At 40.1% G+C, this 18,048-nt stretch overlaps 1 protein-coding gene across 9 annotated transcripts in view; it reads right to left on the bottom strand.

Annotated features, from left to right (window-relative positions):
• RABEP1 (rabaptin, RAB GTPase binding effector protein 1) overlaps positions 1–18,048 on the bottom strand; it is a 104,057-nt gene that overhangs the window by 33,339 nt on the left and 52,670 nt on the right. For 6 of the 9 annotated variants that reach the window (XM_047437039.1, XM_047437038.1, XM_011524060.3 and 3 more), the window contains 4 exons: positions 17,658–17,818; positions 14,864–14,983; positions 6,077–6,212; positions 2,373–2,551 (listed from right to left, as the gene is read on the bottom strand). In XM_047437039.1, coding sequence (XP_047292995.1) covers positions 2,373–2,551; positions 6,077–6,212; positions 14,864–14,983; positions 17,658–17,818 — 596 coding nt within the window. Of the gene's footprint in view, positions 1–2,372; positions 2,552–6,076; positions 6,213–14,863; positions 14,984–16,311; positions 16,515–17,657; positions 17,819–18,048 lie in introns of those variants that run through there. The other 3 variants (XM_047437040.1, XM_047437041.1, NM_001291582.2) reach the window with 2 other exon arrangements.

Below are 18,048 nucleotides of genomic sequence, written 5' to 3'. Positions count from 1 at the left end.
AATTGTAGTCCCTACTGCTTATGGAGAGTTTTTGATAACCACTTGACATAAAGATTTATACATAAAGCCTTAGCACAATGCTAGCACATAGTAAGAGCTCAATAAATGTTGAAAAGTTTTAAATGATCATCTTAGTAAAGTTTAGACTCTTTGTTTTTGTTTTTGTTTTTTGAGAGGGAGTCTCACTTTGTCACCCAGGCTGGAGTGCAGTGATGTGATCTCGGCTCACTGCAACCTCCGCCTCCTGGGTTCAAGTGATTCTCCTGCCTCAGCTTCCCAAGTAGCTGGTACTACAGGCACATGCCACCACACCTGGCTAATTTTTGTATTTTTAGTAGAGGTGGGGTTCCGCCAAGTTGACCAGGCTGGTCTCAAACTCCTGACCTGAGGTGATCCACCCACCTCGGCCTCCCAAAGTGCTGGGATTACAGGTGTGACCATCCGCGCCCGGCCAAGTTTAGACTCTTTTAATGGGCAGCAGGGAAGGCAGGATAAGATCTGTACTTTAGAGCAGGGCATGGTGGCTCATGCCTGTAATCCCAGCACTTTGGGAGGCCGAGACGGGCAGATAACTTGAGGTCAGGAGTTTGAGACCAGCCTGGGCAACGTAGTGAAACCCTGTCTCTACTAAAAATACAAAAGTTAGCCAGGCATGGTGGCACACGCCTGTAGTCCCAGCTACTTGGGCGGCTGAGACAGAAGAATCACTTGAGCCTGGGAGGCGGAGGTTGCAGTGAGCCAAGATTGTGCCACTGTGCTCCAGCCTGGGTGACTGGAGTGAAATCCTGTCTCAAAAAAAAGAAAAAAAAAAATCCTTATGTTGGCTTTGACTACACACAAGACGAATGAGTCCAAATTAAGAGACAAAAAGGAAATTTAAAAAAGAAGAAACTTTGCAAAACAAAATCTAACCTAAGTCACATAAAGCAATTTGAAACGTTTGACAAGATACTTAGAAAGGCAGTGAACACTTTTACATAGCTATCCTAGGGAAGTATCTGCACATATACACAATACGGTCAAGGATTTAGCTGCAAGATTATTTGAGATGACAAGAAAAGGGGGACCACCTAGATACACGCTACAAGGAGAAAGGGTAAATCAATATGGTGCATCCATCTACACTCAAGAACAAAATACAACGTCGATATGAAAATACATCCAGGATAATGCTTATGGGAAATATATATACTTTTTTTTGAGATAGGATCTTGCTTTGTCACCCACAGCTGAAGTGCAGTGGTGTGATCACAGCTCACTGCAGCCTCCGCCTCCCGGATCAAGTGATCCTCCCACCTCAGCCTCCCAAGTAGCTGGAACTACAGGCACGTGCCACCATGCCCAGCTAATTATTCTTCTTATTATTATTGTAGAAACAGAGTCTCACTATATGGCCCAGGCTGGTCTTGGCCTTTTGGGCTCAAGCGATCCTCCTGCCTCAGCCTCCCAAAGTGTTGGGATTACAGACATAAGCTACCATGCCCTGCCTAGAATACATACTTATAGTATAACTATAGTTGTGTAAGAGGAAAACTACACCCTAAATGTATATCATAAACACACAGAACTGGTTTAGAAGGCTCTCTACCAAATGGTAAAACAATCTTCTGACAAGGGGAGGTGTGGGAGATGTTAAGGAAGACTTTTCACTTGATCACTTTATATTTATTTTTTCACTGTATTTAAAACAAAAAATTTATGATAATGTATATAAATATATATATTATTCATGCAATTTCAATAACTAAAAGATAAGGAGAAAACAGGAACCTGAATATGCAGTGCTCTGAACACCTGCCACCTCCTATTACTCAGCCTCTCCATTCATATCATGTCACCTAGTAGAGCTCTTAGAGCAGGTGTCCAATCTTTTGGCTTCCCTGGGCCACACTGAAGAAGAACTGTCTTGGCTACACACAAAATACACTGACGCTAACGATAGCTGATGAGCTAAAACAAACAAAAAAGATTGCAAAAAAAATCTCATAATGTTTTAAGAAAGTTTACAAATTTGTGTTGGGCCGCATTCAAAGCCAAGAGCTGCAGGTTGGACAAGCTTGACCTCAAGACTTGGCCTGGGAGAACTGGTCAGCACAGGAGAGAAAGATTTTCTCCGAAATACGCACTGCTGCATCCTGCAGTCACTGAAGATCATTTCCAAATCAGTTTCCCCACCCCCGAGAGGAGGCCATTTCTAAAGATGAAAAACAAAACCCCTCAAATGTAGCTGTTATGTTTTTAAAAGTGGCACATATCACCTTTATCACCTTGTTGCAGCTTAAGTCAGTCTCTAATACACATAAGGTAATGCAATCACATGTGGTGGGGGACATTACTGACAAAGCAAATCAGTCCTAAAAACTTCTATTCACCTGATCTTTCTTCTTCAGTTCTTCAACTTGTCGGAGCTGTTCTGAAGTTAGCACAATCTCCATTCGCTGCATGTCTCTCATCAGTAAACGCTGAGATTCCAGAAACTGGTCATTGGCCTTCTGCCACGTATGTTTTAACTGGTTGTGTTGTTGTCGCTCTTGCTCCAAGAGATGGCAAACTGTTTAGGAACCCCCCCACCACAAATCAAAAACACTGAATTTTAATGGTAGGCAATTTCTTTTTTTTTTTGAGATGGAGTCTCGCTCTGTCGCCCAGGCTGGAGTGCAGTGGTGCAATCTTGGCTCACTGCAAGCTCTGCCTCCCGGGTTCACGCCATTCTCCTGCCTCAGCCTCCGGAGTAGCTGGGACTACAGGCGCCTGCCACCATGCCCGGCTAATTTTTTGTATTTTTAGTAGAGACGGGGTTTCACCATGTTAGCCAGGATGGTCTCGATCTCCTGACCTCATGATCCGCCCGTCTCGGCCTCCCAAAGTGCTGGAATTACAGGCGTGAGCCACCGCGCCCGGCCAATGGTAGGCAATTTCTTTAGCACAGGGCTCCTAGCCCAGGTCTGACCAATGGTCCACATCTCTAGGATTCTGTCCTTGGCTGGACCAAGGGGCAACCTATCCCCACACCATCTCTTTAAAGCAGAGTCTCCCAAAGTGCACTCCTAGGAATACAGCAAAGAAAGATTTCTGTTCTTAGTAAGTCTTAGAAACTTCAAGTTAAAGGGAGAAATTTATTATTATTGTTATTTTGCAAAGGCTCCTCCATAATTAAATAAATTTTTAAAGATTTCTTTACTGCAGGACTTTGAACTCGGGGTCTTAATTATGTCTATGTTTTCTTGGAAGGTAATATATAATATAGCCTTTCCCAAATTTATTTGACAAAAGAAAAAAAAAAACTTTTCACAGTACAACTCAAATAACAAGTACTCTAGGGAATATACTTTGGGAAACATTGCTCCAAAGGCCAAAGGTGGAATAAACACTCCTAATTGTGTTTAATACATTCTGATAAATCTGTTATCCAGAAATCCTCGTTGGGTCCGGTTAATATAGACTTCTTATGACAAGTCAAGGAATCTTTGTAAAATGTATGTGTTGTTGATACTCATCAGCTCAGCCATCTTCTGCTAAAAAGAGAATAGGTAGCATGATCTATCCACCCATCTACCAAGCCACCCAAGCCAACTCATACTTCTGATTTTTCCTCACCCCAACATATTCAACTATGACAGAGACCTGCTAACTCGGCCTTCTCTGCAATATGATATATCTATCTTCTGGCTTCTGCCTTAGACCAGCACTTATGACTTAAACAACTACAACAGAGGCCCCTTTTTTATTCTTCTGCCCTCAGTCTTGCCCTCCCTATTCTATTCACCACAGTGCTATGAGACTGAACTTTCTAAAACGCAAAACTAATATTACCGCTCTCCAGTCTAAAACCCTTCACTGAAGCCAGACACAAAAAGGCACATATTATAAAATCCCATTCACATCAAAGTCCAGAATAGGCAAGTCCACAGAGATAGAAAGTAGATTAGTGGTTGCCAAGGGCTGGAGGTAGAGACATAGGAAATGACAGTAAATGGGTACAGGATTTCTTTTTGAGGTAATGAAAATGTTTGGAATTAGACAGTGGTGATGGGGCACAATTTTGTGAATATATTAAAAACTACTGAATTGTATACTTTAACGAGTGAACTTTATGGCATGCAAATTTTATCTTAATAAAACTATTATTTAAGAGAAAATAGGCCGGGCGCAGTGGCTCATGCCTGTAATCCCACCACTCTGGGAGGCCGAGGTGGGCGGATCACGAGGTCAGGGGATCGAGACCATCCTGGCTAACACAGTGAAATCCCATCTCTACTAAAAATACAAAAAAATTAGCCAGGCATGGTGGTGGGCATCCGTAGTCCCAGCTACTTGGGAGGCTGAGACAGGAGAATGGCGTGAACCCAGGAGGCAGAGCTTGCAGTGAGCCGAGATCGCGCCACTGCACTCCAGCCTGGGCGACAAGGGCAAGACTATCTCAAAACAAAAAAAAAGAGAAAATAAAAAACCTTCAGAGGATCCGAACTGCCCAGATGATCAAGTCCAATATTCTTAGCATAAGACCTCTATGTCCTGGCCTGTTTCTACTGCTCCAACCTCACATTTTGCCCATTGCCTCTTGTATTCTAATTGTGCTGAACTGCTTTTCTTAGACTTCCTTACCTAGCTGCATCACATGCAAATGGCCTTGAATGCCATGCTTCTCTCTGACTACCTGACAATCCCCTACCCACCTTCCAAAACTCCATTTAAGAACAACTTCTTTTAAGAAGCCTATCTGGGCTGGGCGTGGTGGCTCACGCCTGTAATCCCAGCACTTTGGGAGGCTGAGGCGGATGGATCACCTGAGGTCAGGAGTTCAAGACCAGCCTGACCAACACGGAGAAACACCCCATCTCTACTAAAAATACAAAATTAGCCAGGCATGGTGGCGCATGCCTGTAATCCCAGCTACTTAGGAGGCTGAAGCAGGAGAATCACTTGAACCCAGGAGGTGGAGGTTGCAGTGAGCCGAGATCACACCACTGCACTCCAGCCTGGGCAACAAGAATGAACCTCTGTCTCAAAAAAAAGACTCTATTTTTTATTGTGAGTGTTTCAGTATGGAAATTACTCCATGTCCTTCCTCATTTTAATTAACCTTCTCGGATACTTTTCAAGGTTTATTAGGAAGGTTGGTAGTCTCAATAATTTACATTATTTCTGGAAGTGTTAGAGGGACATAGTTTAAACTGAACTAGTTCTTTTGGACACCTTTAAGAATATGAGTGTCTTTTTATTGCAATAGCACACTTGGAAATTGTTTCCTGAAGGCCAAAACTTCACTCAAAGTTTGGGTTATTTTCATAATATTTTAGTGGGGAAAGAATGTACCCCTGGAAAATAGAGTCAATTTCTGTATCACTGAGCTACCAGACTAGTGAAATCAAAATTGTCCCCTTAAAAACAGAGTGTTACTTAGGGCCTCCAGAATACACTCTCTGCCCTCTTCCATTTTCACTTTTGCTAATACACCTCCATCAAAATGAGTGTGGGGGGAAAAGTAGTTGAAGCAGAAATTCCCAGCTTTATTATCTCTCTGCCCAGAGCTCACGCCTGGTGATGTTTTGTTTGTTTGTTTGTTTGTTTGTTTGTTTGTTTGTTTGTTTTGAGATGAAGTCTCGCTCTGTCGCCCAGGACAGAGTGCAGTGGTGTGAGCTTGGCTCACCGCAACCTCTGCCTCCTGGGTTCAAGTGATTCTCGTGCCTCAACCTCCTGAGTAGCTGGGATAACAGGTGCGCATCACCACACCTGGATAATTTTTGTTTTTGCAGTAGAGACGGGTTTTCGCCATGTTGGCCAGGCTGGTCTCAAACTCCTGACCTTAGGTGATCTGCCCACCTTGGCCTCCCAAAGTGCTGGGATTATAGGAGTGAGCCACTGTACCCAGCCACCTTGTGAAGTTATTACTGAGCTCACGAAGGAAAAACCATAATTTCAGCTTTGCATGAGTACATTTAAACCAACTACAAGGCTTAAATTGAATCACTAACATGTTGCATTGTTATTTTAAGATTTGTCACTGTTATTAGTCAACATCAATTTAACTTATATGGTTCTTAGAGACAAAGATAAAAATATACAGTATATTTACCTTCATGCAATTCTTTCCGCAGTTTCTCAGCATCTTCCTGTAGAACAGATTTCTGAGTATTCAAAACAGCTACATACATCTCTAGATCAGTCCTACAAGATTTCTCAGCTTCCAGATAATGATTCAGTTCTTTAACCTGAAAGAAGATGCAATTCCATTAAACTGAAATTTACAACAGTTTCTATCTTAGATACAGAATGATGGTAAGTTCTGGCTATGCCTCAAAAAAATTTACACTTACTTTTACATCTACATAAATTAACATTTATAATTTTTAATTATAAAATATGTACTATAGAAAACTGGGAAAATAACTTAATAGATGTTATCCATAATCACACCACCAGAATAAAATATACAATTGAGATTTCACATAACAGCTTTGTCCCTTGCTTTTCAAAAAGGCGGCTCCAATTTGTATTCCCACATCAACATATGCATGTATCTGTTTCAGCCATAACAGTAACACCAGGTATGTTTTGCTTTTTTAAATCGGTAGTTAATTTCTAAGGACAAAAACGATACCATACACTTTTAAGTTTGCTTTCCTTTTACTTCTGGTGAGGGAATTCCAAATGCTTTAAATGTATAAAAAGAAGACATTTTCACAGATACATATACTCATGGAAGTAAAAAAGAGGAAATTATAATGGAACAAATAACTAGTCTCACACTGTAATGACTTAAAGGCAAATGCAGAATACTTTTTAAAATCACATCTTGCCCAGGTGTGGTGGCTCACGCCTGTAATCCTAGCACTTTGGGAGGCAAAGGTGGGCAGAATGCTTGAGCTCAGGAGTTTGAGACCAGCCTGGGAAACACGGAGAAACCCTGTTTCCAAAAAATAACAATAAAATAAAACCACATCTTTAAAAAAAATACTTTTTTTCTGTTGATCAATTAAGTGTAATACTCAAAATAGTAACAATATAGTCTAATATAGGAAAGTTATAACCAAAAAAAATACAATTCTTCCCCAGAAAATCAAGGATTACGTCACTTTAGACTGTCACATAAATTGTCCATTCTAAATTCTAACCCTTTAGTTAACTTTCAACTTTTTCAAATGGTTATATCTAATATCACATTCAAGGTCCTTTTCATGCCTTTTATCTTCCTATTTCTTCAAACTTAAAGTGGCTTATCTGTTTTCAGTTATCTTTACTCCTAGGCCATCATGCAATAATAGTCAAAGACTTAAATGACCATTTAAGCAATCATTTGATGCTTCACTGAAGGTTGACAGTCCAGCACATGATATGAACAAAGAATGGTAAAGTTGCAACTATCATGAAATACTTTCTCTAACACCTGAGGACGGTGGTAATTCAGCTGATGGTAAAAGAGTCCGTATGGCAGATTTAAAATGGTGGTATATAACCCACTAATTCTACCAGTTATTACTTTTTGGAATAAACATTTGGTTTAATTAATAATGAATTTCTAATATTTGAAAACTACTGAGCAGGACCCTGGGAAGATGATGGCAATAGTGACATACTATTTGAATTACTTTGAGTTCCATACCCTGGAATGACCAAAACCAACAACAAATGGACATCTACAAAAAGCCAGGTGACAAGGAGAGGGTACAAACAAACCACTGAAAGCCACCTATTCAGAAAAATGTACGTGGTATCAGGATCTATGCAGGAGAAAATACAGAGAAGCAATGAGGGTCATGAGAAACCAAAAACAGTCAACTGGGAGGACAATGTGACAACAGTGCCTTAAACGGAAGAGTTTCACATACACCAGTAGTCGGTGAATGCAACCAATTTCTCTATAACCCTTACAACCTGGTTAGGGTAAAATGATGTCCCACTTTCATTTACATTTCCCCAATTTCTAGTGTGGTTGAATGTTGACTATCTTTTCACACTCCTTGACTATTCTGGTTTCCTCTTTTGTTAACCGACAGCTCATACACTTTACCTGTTTATTTTTTTTTATTTTTTTTTCTGAGACGGAGTCTCGATCTGTCGCCCAGGCTGGAGGGTGGTGCCGCGATCTCAGCTTACTGCAACGTCAACCTCTGGCTCCTGGGTTCAAGCAATTCTTATGCCTCAGCCTCCCAAGTAGCTGGAATTACAGGCATGCGCCACCTAGCTATACTTTACCTGTTTTTCCTTTTTTTTTTTTTTTTTTTTTTTTGAGACAGTGTCTTGCTCTGTCACCCAGGCTGGAGTGCAGAGGCACGATCTCGGCACACTGCAAGCTCCGCCTCCCGGGTTCACGCCATTATCCTGACTCAGCCTCCCAAGTAGCTGGGACTACAGGTGCCCGCCACCACGCCCGGCTAATTTTTCATATTTTTAGTAGAGACCGGGTTTCACCGTGTTATCCAGGATGGTCTCCATCTCCTGACCTCGTGATCCGCCCGCCTCGGCCTCCCAAAGTGCTGGGATTACAGGCACGAGCCACTGCGCTCGGCCACTTTACCTGTTTTTCTTCAGAATTATCTGTCACTTGTGGACTTGGCAATTTTGAGAGAGAGTCTCACTCTGTTGCTCTGGCTGGAGTGCAGTGGCACAACCTACGCTCACTGCAGCCTCCATCTCCCGGGTTCAAGTAATTCTTGTGCCTCAGCCTCCCAAGTAGCTGGGATTATAGGCGTGCACCACCATGCCCGGCTAATTTTTGTATTTTTAGTAGAGACAGGGTTTCTCCATGTTGCCCAGGCTGGTCTCAAACTCCTGGTCTCAAGCAATCTAAATACTGGGATTACAGGTGTGAGCTACCACGTCCAGCCAACTTAGCAATTTTATTATTTTGGATATTAATATTTTGTCAGTTATGAGGTATTGATATCTTCTTATAGTCTGTAGCTTCTCTTTTCAACTTTTTGTATTAATAGTATCTTTTAACAAAGAACTTTATATTATAATGTAGCTAAACTTGCCAGTTTTCCTTTCACAGTCAATATTTTTGTCTTATTTAGGAAACCTTGGGCCAGGCACAGTGACTCATGCCTGTAATCCCAGCACTTTGGGAGGCCAAGGTGAGTGGATCACATGAGGTCAGGGGTTCGAGACCAGCCTGGCCAACATGACAAAACCCCGTCTCTACTAAAAATACAAAAATTAGCCAGGTGCAGTGGTGCACGCCTGTAATCCCAGCTACTTGAGAGGCTGAAGCAGGAGAATCGCTTGAACCTGGGAGGTGGAGGGTGCAGTGAGCCAAGATCATGCCACTACACTCCAGCCTAGGCAACACAGCAAGACCCTGACTCAAAAAAAAAAAAAAAAAAAAAAAGAGAAAAGAAAGAAAGAAATCTTTTTGAAGACAACAAGGTGGAGAGAGTGGGTCTACCTATCAGATAGTACGACTTGAAGTAAAGCTACTATAATTAAGATAGTTCGTTACCGGTTTAGAAATAAACCTGTCTCCCGGGCTGGAGTGCAGTGGCCCAATCTCAGCTCACTGCAACTTCCACCTCCTGGGTTCAAGTGATTCTCATGATTCTCATGCCTCGTCCCGAGTAGCTGGGACTACAGGTATGCACCACCACATCTGGCTAATTTTTGTATTTTTTGTAAAGAAAGAGTTTCACTATGTTGTGCTGGCTGGTCTTGAACTCCTAAGCTCAAGCAATCTGCCCACCTCAGCCTCCCAAAGTGCTGGAATTACAGGCATGAGCCACCGCACATGGCCAGATAATAATTTATTTATTTTGAGACGGAGTTTCACTCGTCGCCTAGGCTGGAGTGCAATGGTGCGATCTTGGCTCCCCGCAACCTCCGCCTCCCAGGTTCAAGCGATTCTCCTGCCTCAGCCCCCCAAGTAGCTGGGATTACAGGCGGATGCCCAGCTAATTTTTGCATTTTTAGTAGAGGCAGGGTTTCACCATGTTGGCCAGGCTGGTCCCGAACTCCTGACCTCAGGTGACCCACCTGCCTTGGCCTCCCAAAGTGCTGAGATGGCAGGCGCGAGCCACCACACTCAGCCAAAAAGGGTATTTTTTAACAATCCATTCTTCACCCACTGATTTGTAATGCCACCTGTCATATATCAAATTTACACATATATAGGTCTGTTTCTGGGCTTTCTGTTTTATTGATCCATTTGTTTATCCCTAAACCAGTAACAAACTACCTTAATTATAGTAGCTTTACTGTGGTCCTGCTATCTGGTAGGTAGGCCAAGTCTCCTCATCTTGTCTTCAAAATTTTGCTAAGTATTTTCCTGTTCCTTCACTTCTCTATATGAAGTCTACTTCTAGAACTGAATTATCAAGTTCCTAATTAAACCCTATTGAAATTTAAGTAAAATTTAAAAATTTGGGGATACAATGTCTACTTTATAATGCTGTGTGTGTGTGAGACAGAGTCTCGCTCTACTGCCCAGGCTGGAGTGCAGTGGCACGACCTCAGCTCACTGCAACCTCTGCCTCCTGAGAGATTGGCACTACAGGCTTCCGCAACCATGCTCGACTAATTTTTGTACTTTTAGTAGAGACTGGGTTTCACCATGCTGGCCAGGCTGGTCTCAAACTCCTAACCTCAGGTGATCCCCCTACCTTGGCCTCCTAAAGTGCTGGGATTACAGACGTGAGCCACTGCACCCGGCCCAATGCTCTATCTTTTCATTCAGGAAAATACAGATTCAGGTCCTCATTTATTATGTAGTCTATAAGGACCCTGCCCATCTTTATTTAGCTATATTGGTAGCTAACTAGTTTTTCTTTTTCTTTTTTTTCTTTTTTTTTACTCTTGTGAATAGGATCAATCTTTTTTCCACCACTGCATTCTTCAACTGGTTATCACTGGGGCATAGAAAAACAATTATCTTAGTATGTTGATTTTGTTTGAACAACTTTCAAATTGTTGAACTCTTATTAGGTCTAACAATCTGTTGTACATTCTCTGGTTTCTTTATACAGACAATTGAATCAGTCTCGTTGCTTTCTTTCCAGTTCTTATGCCTCATTTCTGAATTACTGAGCATGGGTCTGCCCCAGAATGTTCCCACCATTAATGGTAAGGCTGCTAAATATTCACCCTTAACTATGTTTGCCAAAGGTTTGATAAATAGCCCTTTACTAAGTTATTGAGTGGTCAAATTTCTCAAATACCTCTCTGAATCCAAAATGAATATAATGCTGTTCTTCTACAATCATTTCACGTGTACACTGCAATGATAGATTTTCCGATAAATTTCTGGGAATACACCCTACTTGGTCATGATGTATTTCTCCCCCTTTATTTTACCTACGATGTTGAAAATTTTAGCTTCTGTATTCCTGAGACAGATCTATAATTTCTTCTCATACTACCTTTCTATGTGTTTGCTCACTTGTAGTGAAGATCTACTAGTCTCATAAAAACAGTTGGAGAGCTTTCTCTCTTTTTGTATTCCCTGAGAGTTCGTAAAATATAAGAATTTGCTCTTTCCAGAAAGTCTGGAAAAACTTACCTGTAAAATCAACAGTTTAATATCTTTTGGTGAGAGGAGGCAAGAGACAATAAGATTTTTTACTCTAGATCCACTTTCTTTAATAATTACTGACTACCTTTCCTGTTTTGGAATAATTTGGGCTAATTATCTTTTATTAGAAATTTTTTCATCTGTTTTCAAATTTATTTGTGTGACAGTTTATAGTATTTGTTATTTTTAAATTTCTACTGATTTGTAGTTATGTTCTTTTTTTTAAGACAGGCTCCCTTGCCCAGGCTGGCGTGCAGTGGAGCCACCATGGCTCACCACAGCCTCAACTCCTTGGGCTCAAGTGATCCTTCTGCCTCAGCCTCACAAAGTGCTAGGATTACAGGCATGAGCCTCTACACTCGGACTCACTTCTGATTTCTCATTTTTGTTTTCATTTTTCCTGATCAGTCTTACCAGAGATTTGTCTATAGTTTTTCCATTTTTTCATTATATTGATAGTCTCTATTGTTCTTTTGCTTTTCTATTTCACAAATTCCTATGTTTATATTATTCATTTCCATTTATTTTGTTTGTACTTTTTTTTTTTTTTGAGACGGAGTTTTGCTCTTGTTGCCCAGGCTGGAGTGCAATGGCAAGATCTCAGCTCACTGCAACCTCTGCCTCCTGGGTTCAAGCAATTCTCCTGCCTCAGCCTCCCCAGTAGCTGGGATTATAGGCGCCCGCCACCACGCCCAGCTAATTTTTTGCATTTTTAGTAGAGATGGGGTTTCACTACGTTGGCCAGGCTGGTCTCGAACTCCTGACCTCAGGCGATCCACCCACCTCAGCCTCCCAAAGTGCTGGGATTACAGGCATGAGCCACTGCGCCCGGCTCAGTTTGTACTTTTTTTTTTTTTTTAAAGATCTGGCATTATTCACATCATTCTAAATATTTTGTAATTACTTTTTCCATGAGTATTTTTTTCATGTCCAAGCATTTTAACTATCATTTTAGCGTAAATACCTGAATAACCCATAGTTACAGAATTGGGTCTGTGTAACCTCAATTCTAAGATAATGTATCTAAAAATAACTATACCTTGTCCCAGGTACTATCCTAAAGGTTTATAGGTATTAATTTATATGTTCCTCATAATAGCCATACAGTGGCTACTATAGGGATTAATTTATATGTTCCTCATAATAGCCATATGGTGACTATTAAGGTGGGCTTATTATCCCCATTTCACAGTTGAGAAAATCAAAGCACAGTATGATTAAGTAATTTGCCCAAGGTAACCCAGGCTACTAAATGCTGAGCTCTTAACTATTATGTTCTAGTACTGTATGCGATACCATCTCACTCTTGGATACCGAGTTCTGTGTGTCAATTACAACTAAATAACTAACCTGATAGTTCAAAATGTCTATAGCTCTACTAATAATTTTTTCTGATTGTATTCTGTAAAGGTCAATTTTAATCTGCTACTATATTTGTGAAAGTCAGTTTCTCCTTGTAATTGTCATTATTAGTTTATGCATTTCATGACTATGTAAGGTGCATTCAAGTTCATGACTATTATATCTTATTGATGAACTGTTTATTAGATAGGATCCCTCTTTATCTCTATTAGTGGCTTTTCCCCCTTATCCTATCTTTGTGATACTACACTTGGTATATCAGCTTTCTTTTGGTTCGAATTTACATGGTATATTTTTATCCCTTTATTTTCAGTATTTTTTTCTTTCTTTTTTTGAGATGGAGTCTCACTCTGTCGCCCAGGCTGGAGTGCAGTGGTACAGTCTCAGGTAACTGCAACAATCTCCACCTCCTGGGTTTGAGCAATTCTCCTGCCTCAGCCTCCCAAGTAGAAGGGACTACAAGGCGCGTGGCCACCACGCCTGGCTAATTTTTGTATTTTTAGTAGAGACAGGGTTTCACCATGTTGGCCAGGCTGGTCTCGAACTCCTGACCTCAGGTGATCCACCCACCTCAGCCTCCCAAAGTGCTGGGATTATAGGCATGAGCCACCGCGCCCAGGCTTCTTTTAAGACAGAGTCTCACTCTATCACGTAGACTGGAGTGCAGTGGCATGATCATGGTTCACTGCAACTTCAACCTTTTGGGTTGAAGTAATTCTCCCATCTCAGCCTCTCAAGTAGCCGGGACCACAGGCACACACCACTATAACTGGCTAATATTTTCAGTCTTACCTTGTGGTTTGATTTTAGGCATAGCTCTTACAAGTAACATAAAGTTAGATTTTTACAATCCAATGTGATAATCTCTTTTAAACATAGGTATCAGTTTACATTTACCAAGACTATTGATAAATTCCCATTTATTTTCATATTGTTTTTATTTTCTTATGCTTCTTTTGTTCCTACTTTCTTCCTTTTTTTCTTTGGGTGTGGGGGACAGGGTCTCACTCTGTCACCCAGTCTGGAGTGCCAGTTCACTGTAGTCTCAAACTCCCGGGCTGAAGTAATCCTCCCATCTCAGTCTCCCAAGTAGGTGGGACAACAGGCATGCACCACCGTGTCTGGCTTTTTAAAAAATTTTTGTAGAGACAGGGGTCTCACTATGTTGCCCAGGCTGGTCTCAAATTCCTGGGCACAAGCAATTCTCCCGCCTCAGCTTCCTGAAGTATTGGGATTACAGGTGTGAGCCACAACACCTGGCCTGTTCCTACTTTAATTCTTTTGCTGTGTCTTTATGGCCAACAAATTCAGCAATACTATAGCTACATTATCTCTAAAAGATCAATGCTGGAGCTGGCATCAGAAAACAAGGTCAACTTCGAACAGTTTATTTTCCTTAATAGGAAAATGAATGAGACGGGGTCTCATTTTCTTAAGAAAATGAACATTAACTTTGTGACAAAGCAGCCACTTGTGATAAAACATCATTATTGTGATTATTTTAAATGTCCATAAGAGCAAAACCATCTCAAAGCAGTTTTTTGCATTTAAATTTATTTTTTATTATTGAGACAGAATTTCGCTCCTGTTGCCCAGGCCGGAGTGCAAAGGCACAATCTCAGCTCACTGCAACCTCCGCCACCGGGCTTCAAGCGATTCTCCTGCCTCAGCCTCCCGAGGCTGGGAGCAGCCGGGATTACAGGCATGCGCCACCATGCCTGGTTAATTTGTATTTTTAGTAGAGATGGGGTTTCTCCATGTTGGTCAGACTGGTCTCCAACTCCCAACCTCAGGTGATCCGCCCGCCTCAGCCTCCCAAAGTGCTGGGATTACAGGCGTGAGCCACCTCGCCCGGCAGTTTTTTGCATTTTAAAGAAAGATTCTTAAGATGCATAGTCTAAATTACAGGTTTTTTTCCCTATTACTGATTCTAATTTTGTTCATGGCATTGGGGCAGAAACTTGGGTTTCAAGCAAATGGATTACAATGTTTCATAACCTTTGAGGCCTCCAGCTCTTTAATTTTGTCTTCAGCCTCTGTCAGTTTATCCTTCAAAGCTGCAATTTCCTTTTCCATTGGCATCACAACGGACCGAAGTTTCTCAGCATCCTCTTGGGCCTATGGTTAAAAAGAATTAAATGCTACGACTTATTCATTTACTGCTTTTCTAAGAAACTCTAACCCTTCCATTTGCTAAAAATTATTATAACAAGTAACTTGACCAGACACTATATTAATATTCGCAAAACTGAACTAATGTCTAACTTTCAAATAGTGCATTACTTTGAATGTCAAGGTATAACTGAGTTTTCCCAAATATTCCATTTAGAATTCGGGAGTAAATGGGAAAATTGATTCACTAAAACAAATTTGACTTCTTAATCAATTAAGAAAATATCCCATATATAAAAGGAAATACACATAATAAATAAATTTTTTTTTTTGAGACGGAGTCTCGCTCTGTCACCCAGGCTGGAGTGCAGTGCCACGATCTCCGCTCACTGCAAGCTCCACCTCCCAGGTTCACACCATTCTCCTGCCTCAGCCTCCCGAGTAACTGGGACTACAGGCGCCTGCCACCATACCCAGCTAATTTTTTTTTTATTATTATTTTTAGTAGAGACAGGGTTTCATCGTGTTAGCCAGGATGGTCTCGATCTCCTGACCTCATGATCCGCCCGCCTCGGCCTCCCAAAGTGCTGGGATTACAGGCGTGAGCCACCGCGCCCAGCCCATAATAAATAATTTTTAAAATTCCTGGGTTAGTAAGTTCATGAGACAATAATTTCTTATGAATAATGAAAGGGCTGATTACATTTTAAACACCCAAAATAGAATAACGTGTTTTCTAAAATGTTAGAAAATTATGTTGCTATAAAAAGGCTTCCATCCAATTAAACAGAGTACTTTAAATACTATTTTACTTTTACCATCTAAATGAAACAAACACAAAGAGTGACCCCTTAAAACTATCATTGCTTTCCCAAGTCCATTCTCAAAAACATGGATTAAAAGGAACCAACTTACATAAACTAGTAAACTGGTGAGAAAATGAATTTTCATTTCTTATATACACATACACTTACACGCAGAGAAACAAAGGCAGGCTCAAAAAGTTGGCTTTTTTCCTTCTAGAGAAACTGAAAACCTAATTCACTGAATTTAAATGAGTGCAAAGTTATACTAAGTTGTGCACGATAGGGAAAAATATCATAAATGCCCAAACGTGAGGGGGATTTTCCCCAAATAACATACCCCTCAAAAAACAGGTTCAGATTCACTTTGTTTTCAGGTCCTTACACAAAGCCATCATTTATTTTATTTTGAATTAAATACTATTTGGAAAAGACAAGTTAAAATATCTCAGTCAAGGCTAGTTTAGGATGCTTATAAAGGTCATCTGATAAAAAACAACAGGAAAAAAAAGGAGGGAGGAAGCAAAGAACTGATCACAAATCAAGTTATTTATTAATATAAATATGACTTCACAATTCCAAGTGCTGAATGTCATCATAAACAAAACCTTTAAAAAGCACTTTAAAAAATGACAGAAAGGTCATTAAAAACAAGAAAAATCTGAGAAACTGTCACAGCCAAGAGGCATCTAAGGAGACACAACTAAATGCAATATGGTATCCTGGATGGGATCCTAGAACAGAAAAAAAAGGACATTAGGTAAAAACTAATGCAATCTGAATACAAAAATGGACTTCAGTTAATAAGAATAAATTGATAGAGGCTTATTAGCTGTGACAAATGTACCATGCTAATGTAAAACATTAACAACAGGAGAAACTAGGCATGGAGTATATAGGAACTCTGTACTATCTTCCCAATTTTTCAGATAATCAAAAACAGTTCTAAAATTGAAAGACTGTGGAAATCATGAATATACATGCATTTGAAGAATGAACTAAGAATTAGGAACCAAAAAGGCATGATCAATTCAATTGAAAAGAAAAATCAATTACTAATTATTTTATACAATGTGATTTTAAATGTGTATGCATATAAAATAATGTAAAAGTTTATTTAAACTAGCTAAAAAGCTTTTAATATTTTCTCAATGATAAAATGTCTCAATTTACATTTAGTTGCCCTATGTTCAAGTATTATATGGTATTATGTTCAAGCATATGTGGTACATAATATGTGGTACACAGAAACCAAAGGATACCGAGAAAGAAGGAAAACTAACATCTATTCTAAAACTTTGCTTTAGACACAATCATCAAGCAACAACACCCACTCAACTGGTATTTAGGAGTTCAAGCACCTATCTCCTAGACACTATGCTAGGCATTTAGGATATACAAATAAAAAACAAGCACATGTACCCCTGAAGCTATTAAAAAAAAAGAGAGAAAGAGAAACTCCTGCCTTCACAGAGCTTATATTTTAGCAAGGAAAGAAAGACAGTAAACAATAAACACAATAGGTGAACTCTGTGTAGTATAAGGAAATATGTGCTATGGAAAGAGAAAAACTAGAGAAGGATAAGGGAGAGGAGAGTAGTGACAGGTGGCAGAGGGAAGTTGGCAGGTTGCAATGTTAAATGGCGGGTGGTCGGGAAAAACCCCATGAAGTAGTGATATTTGATCAAAAATGTGAAGAAGGTGAGAGAGTTAGCCATAGATATAACATTATTTAGTACTATGTTTAGGTCTGTGTCCAAATAATTATTCTCACAGGAAATATCAAAGTACTTCTATTACTTTCTATTACACAACAATATTAAAGCATTTTGCATTTGAATTCAAATATTTCTACAAATGAACACATTCCTTCATACCTTTTTCATTTCATTTTCTAAATTTTCCTCCTCTTGACCTTCAGACAGCCTTCTTCTTAAATCAGCTATTTCCCTCTCTGCGGATTCTCTATACTGTGCCCACTGTGTTCGCTCCTGCTCCAGCCTAAGGTGGAACTGGTGCTCATAGTCACGAACTGTTTCTACAAAACATCACCACATATTTCACATCTAAGCATTATGAAAAAAAAATAACCTGGCACACTAAATTTTTTAAAGTTATATAAAAAGCTTACGTCTAATTTCTGGAAAATGTTTAATTCACTAAAAAACAAGACAAACTAGTTGTAGTTCTTATTATATACAGAAATAAGGGCTTTAAATCATCACTTCTAATCTTCACAATAAACCTGTGTCATATATTATTTTACGA

Source organism: Homo sapiens, chromosome 17, assembly GCF_000001405.40.
Source record: "Homo sapiens chromosome 17, GRCh38.p14 Primary Assembly".
In the NCBI taxonomy this organism is placed as follows: Eukaryota; Metazoa; Chordata; class Mammalia; order Primates; family Hominidae; genus Homo; species Homo sapiens.
This window is presented reverse-complemented; position numbering and strand designations above follow the sequence as displayed.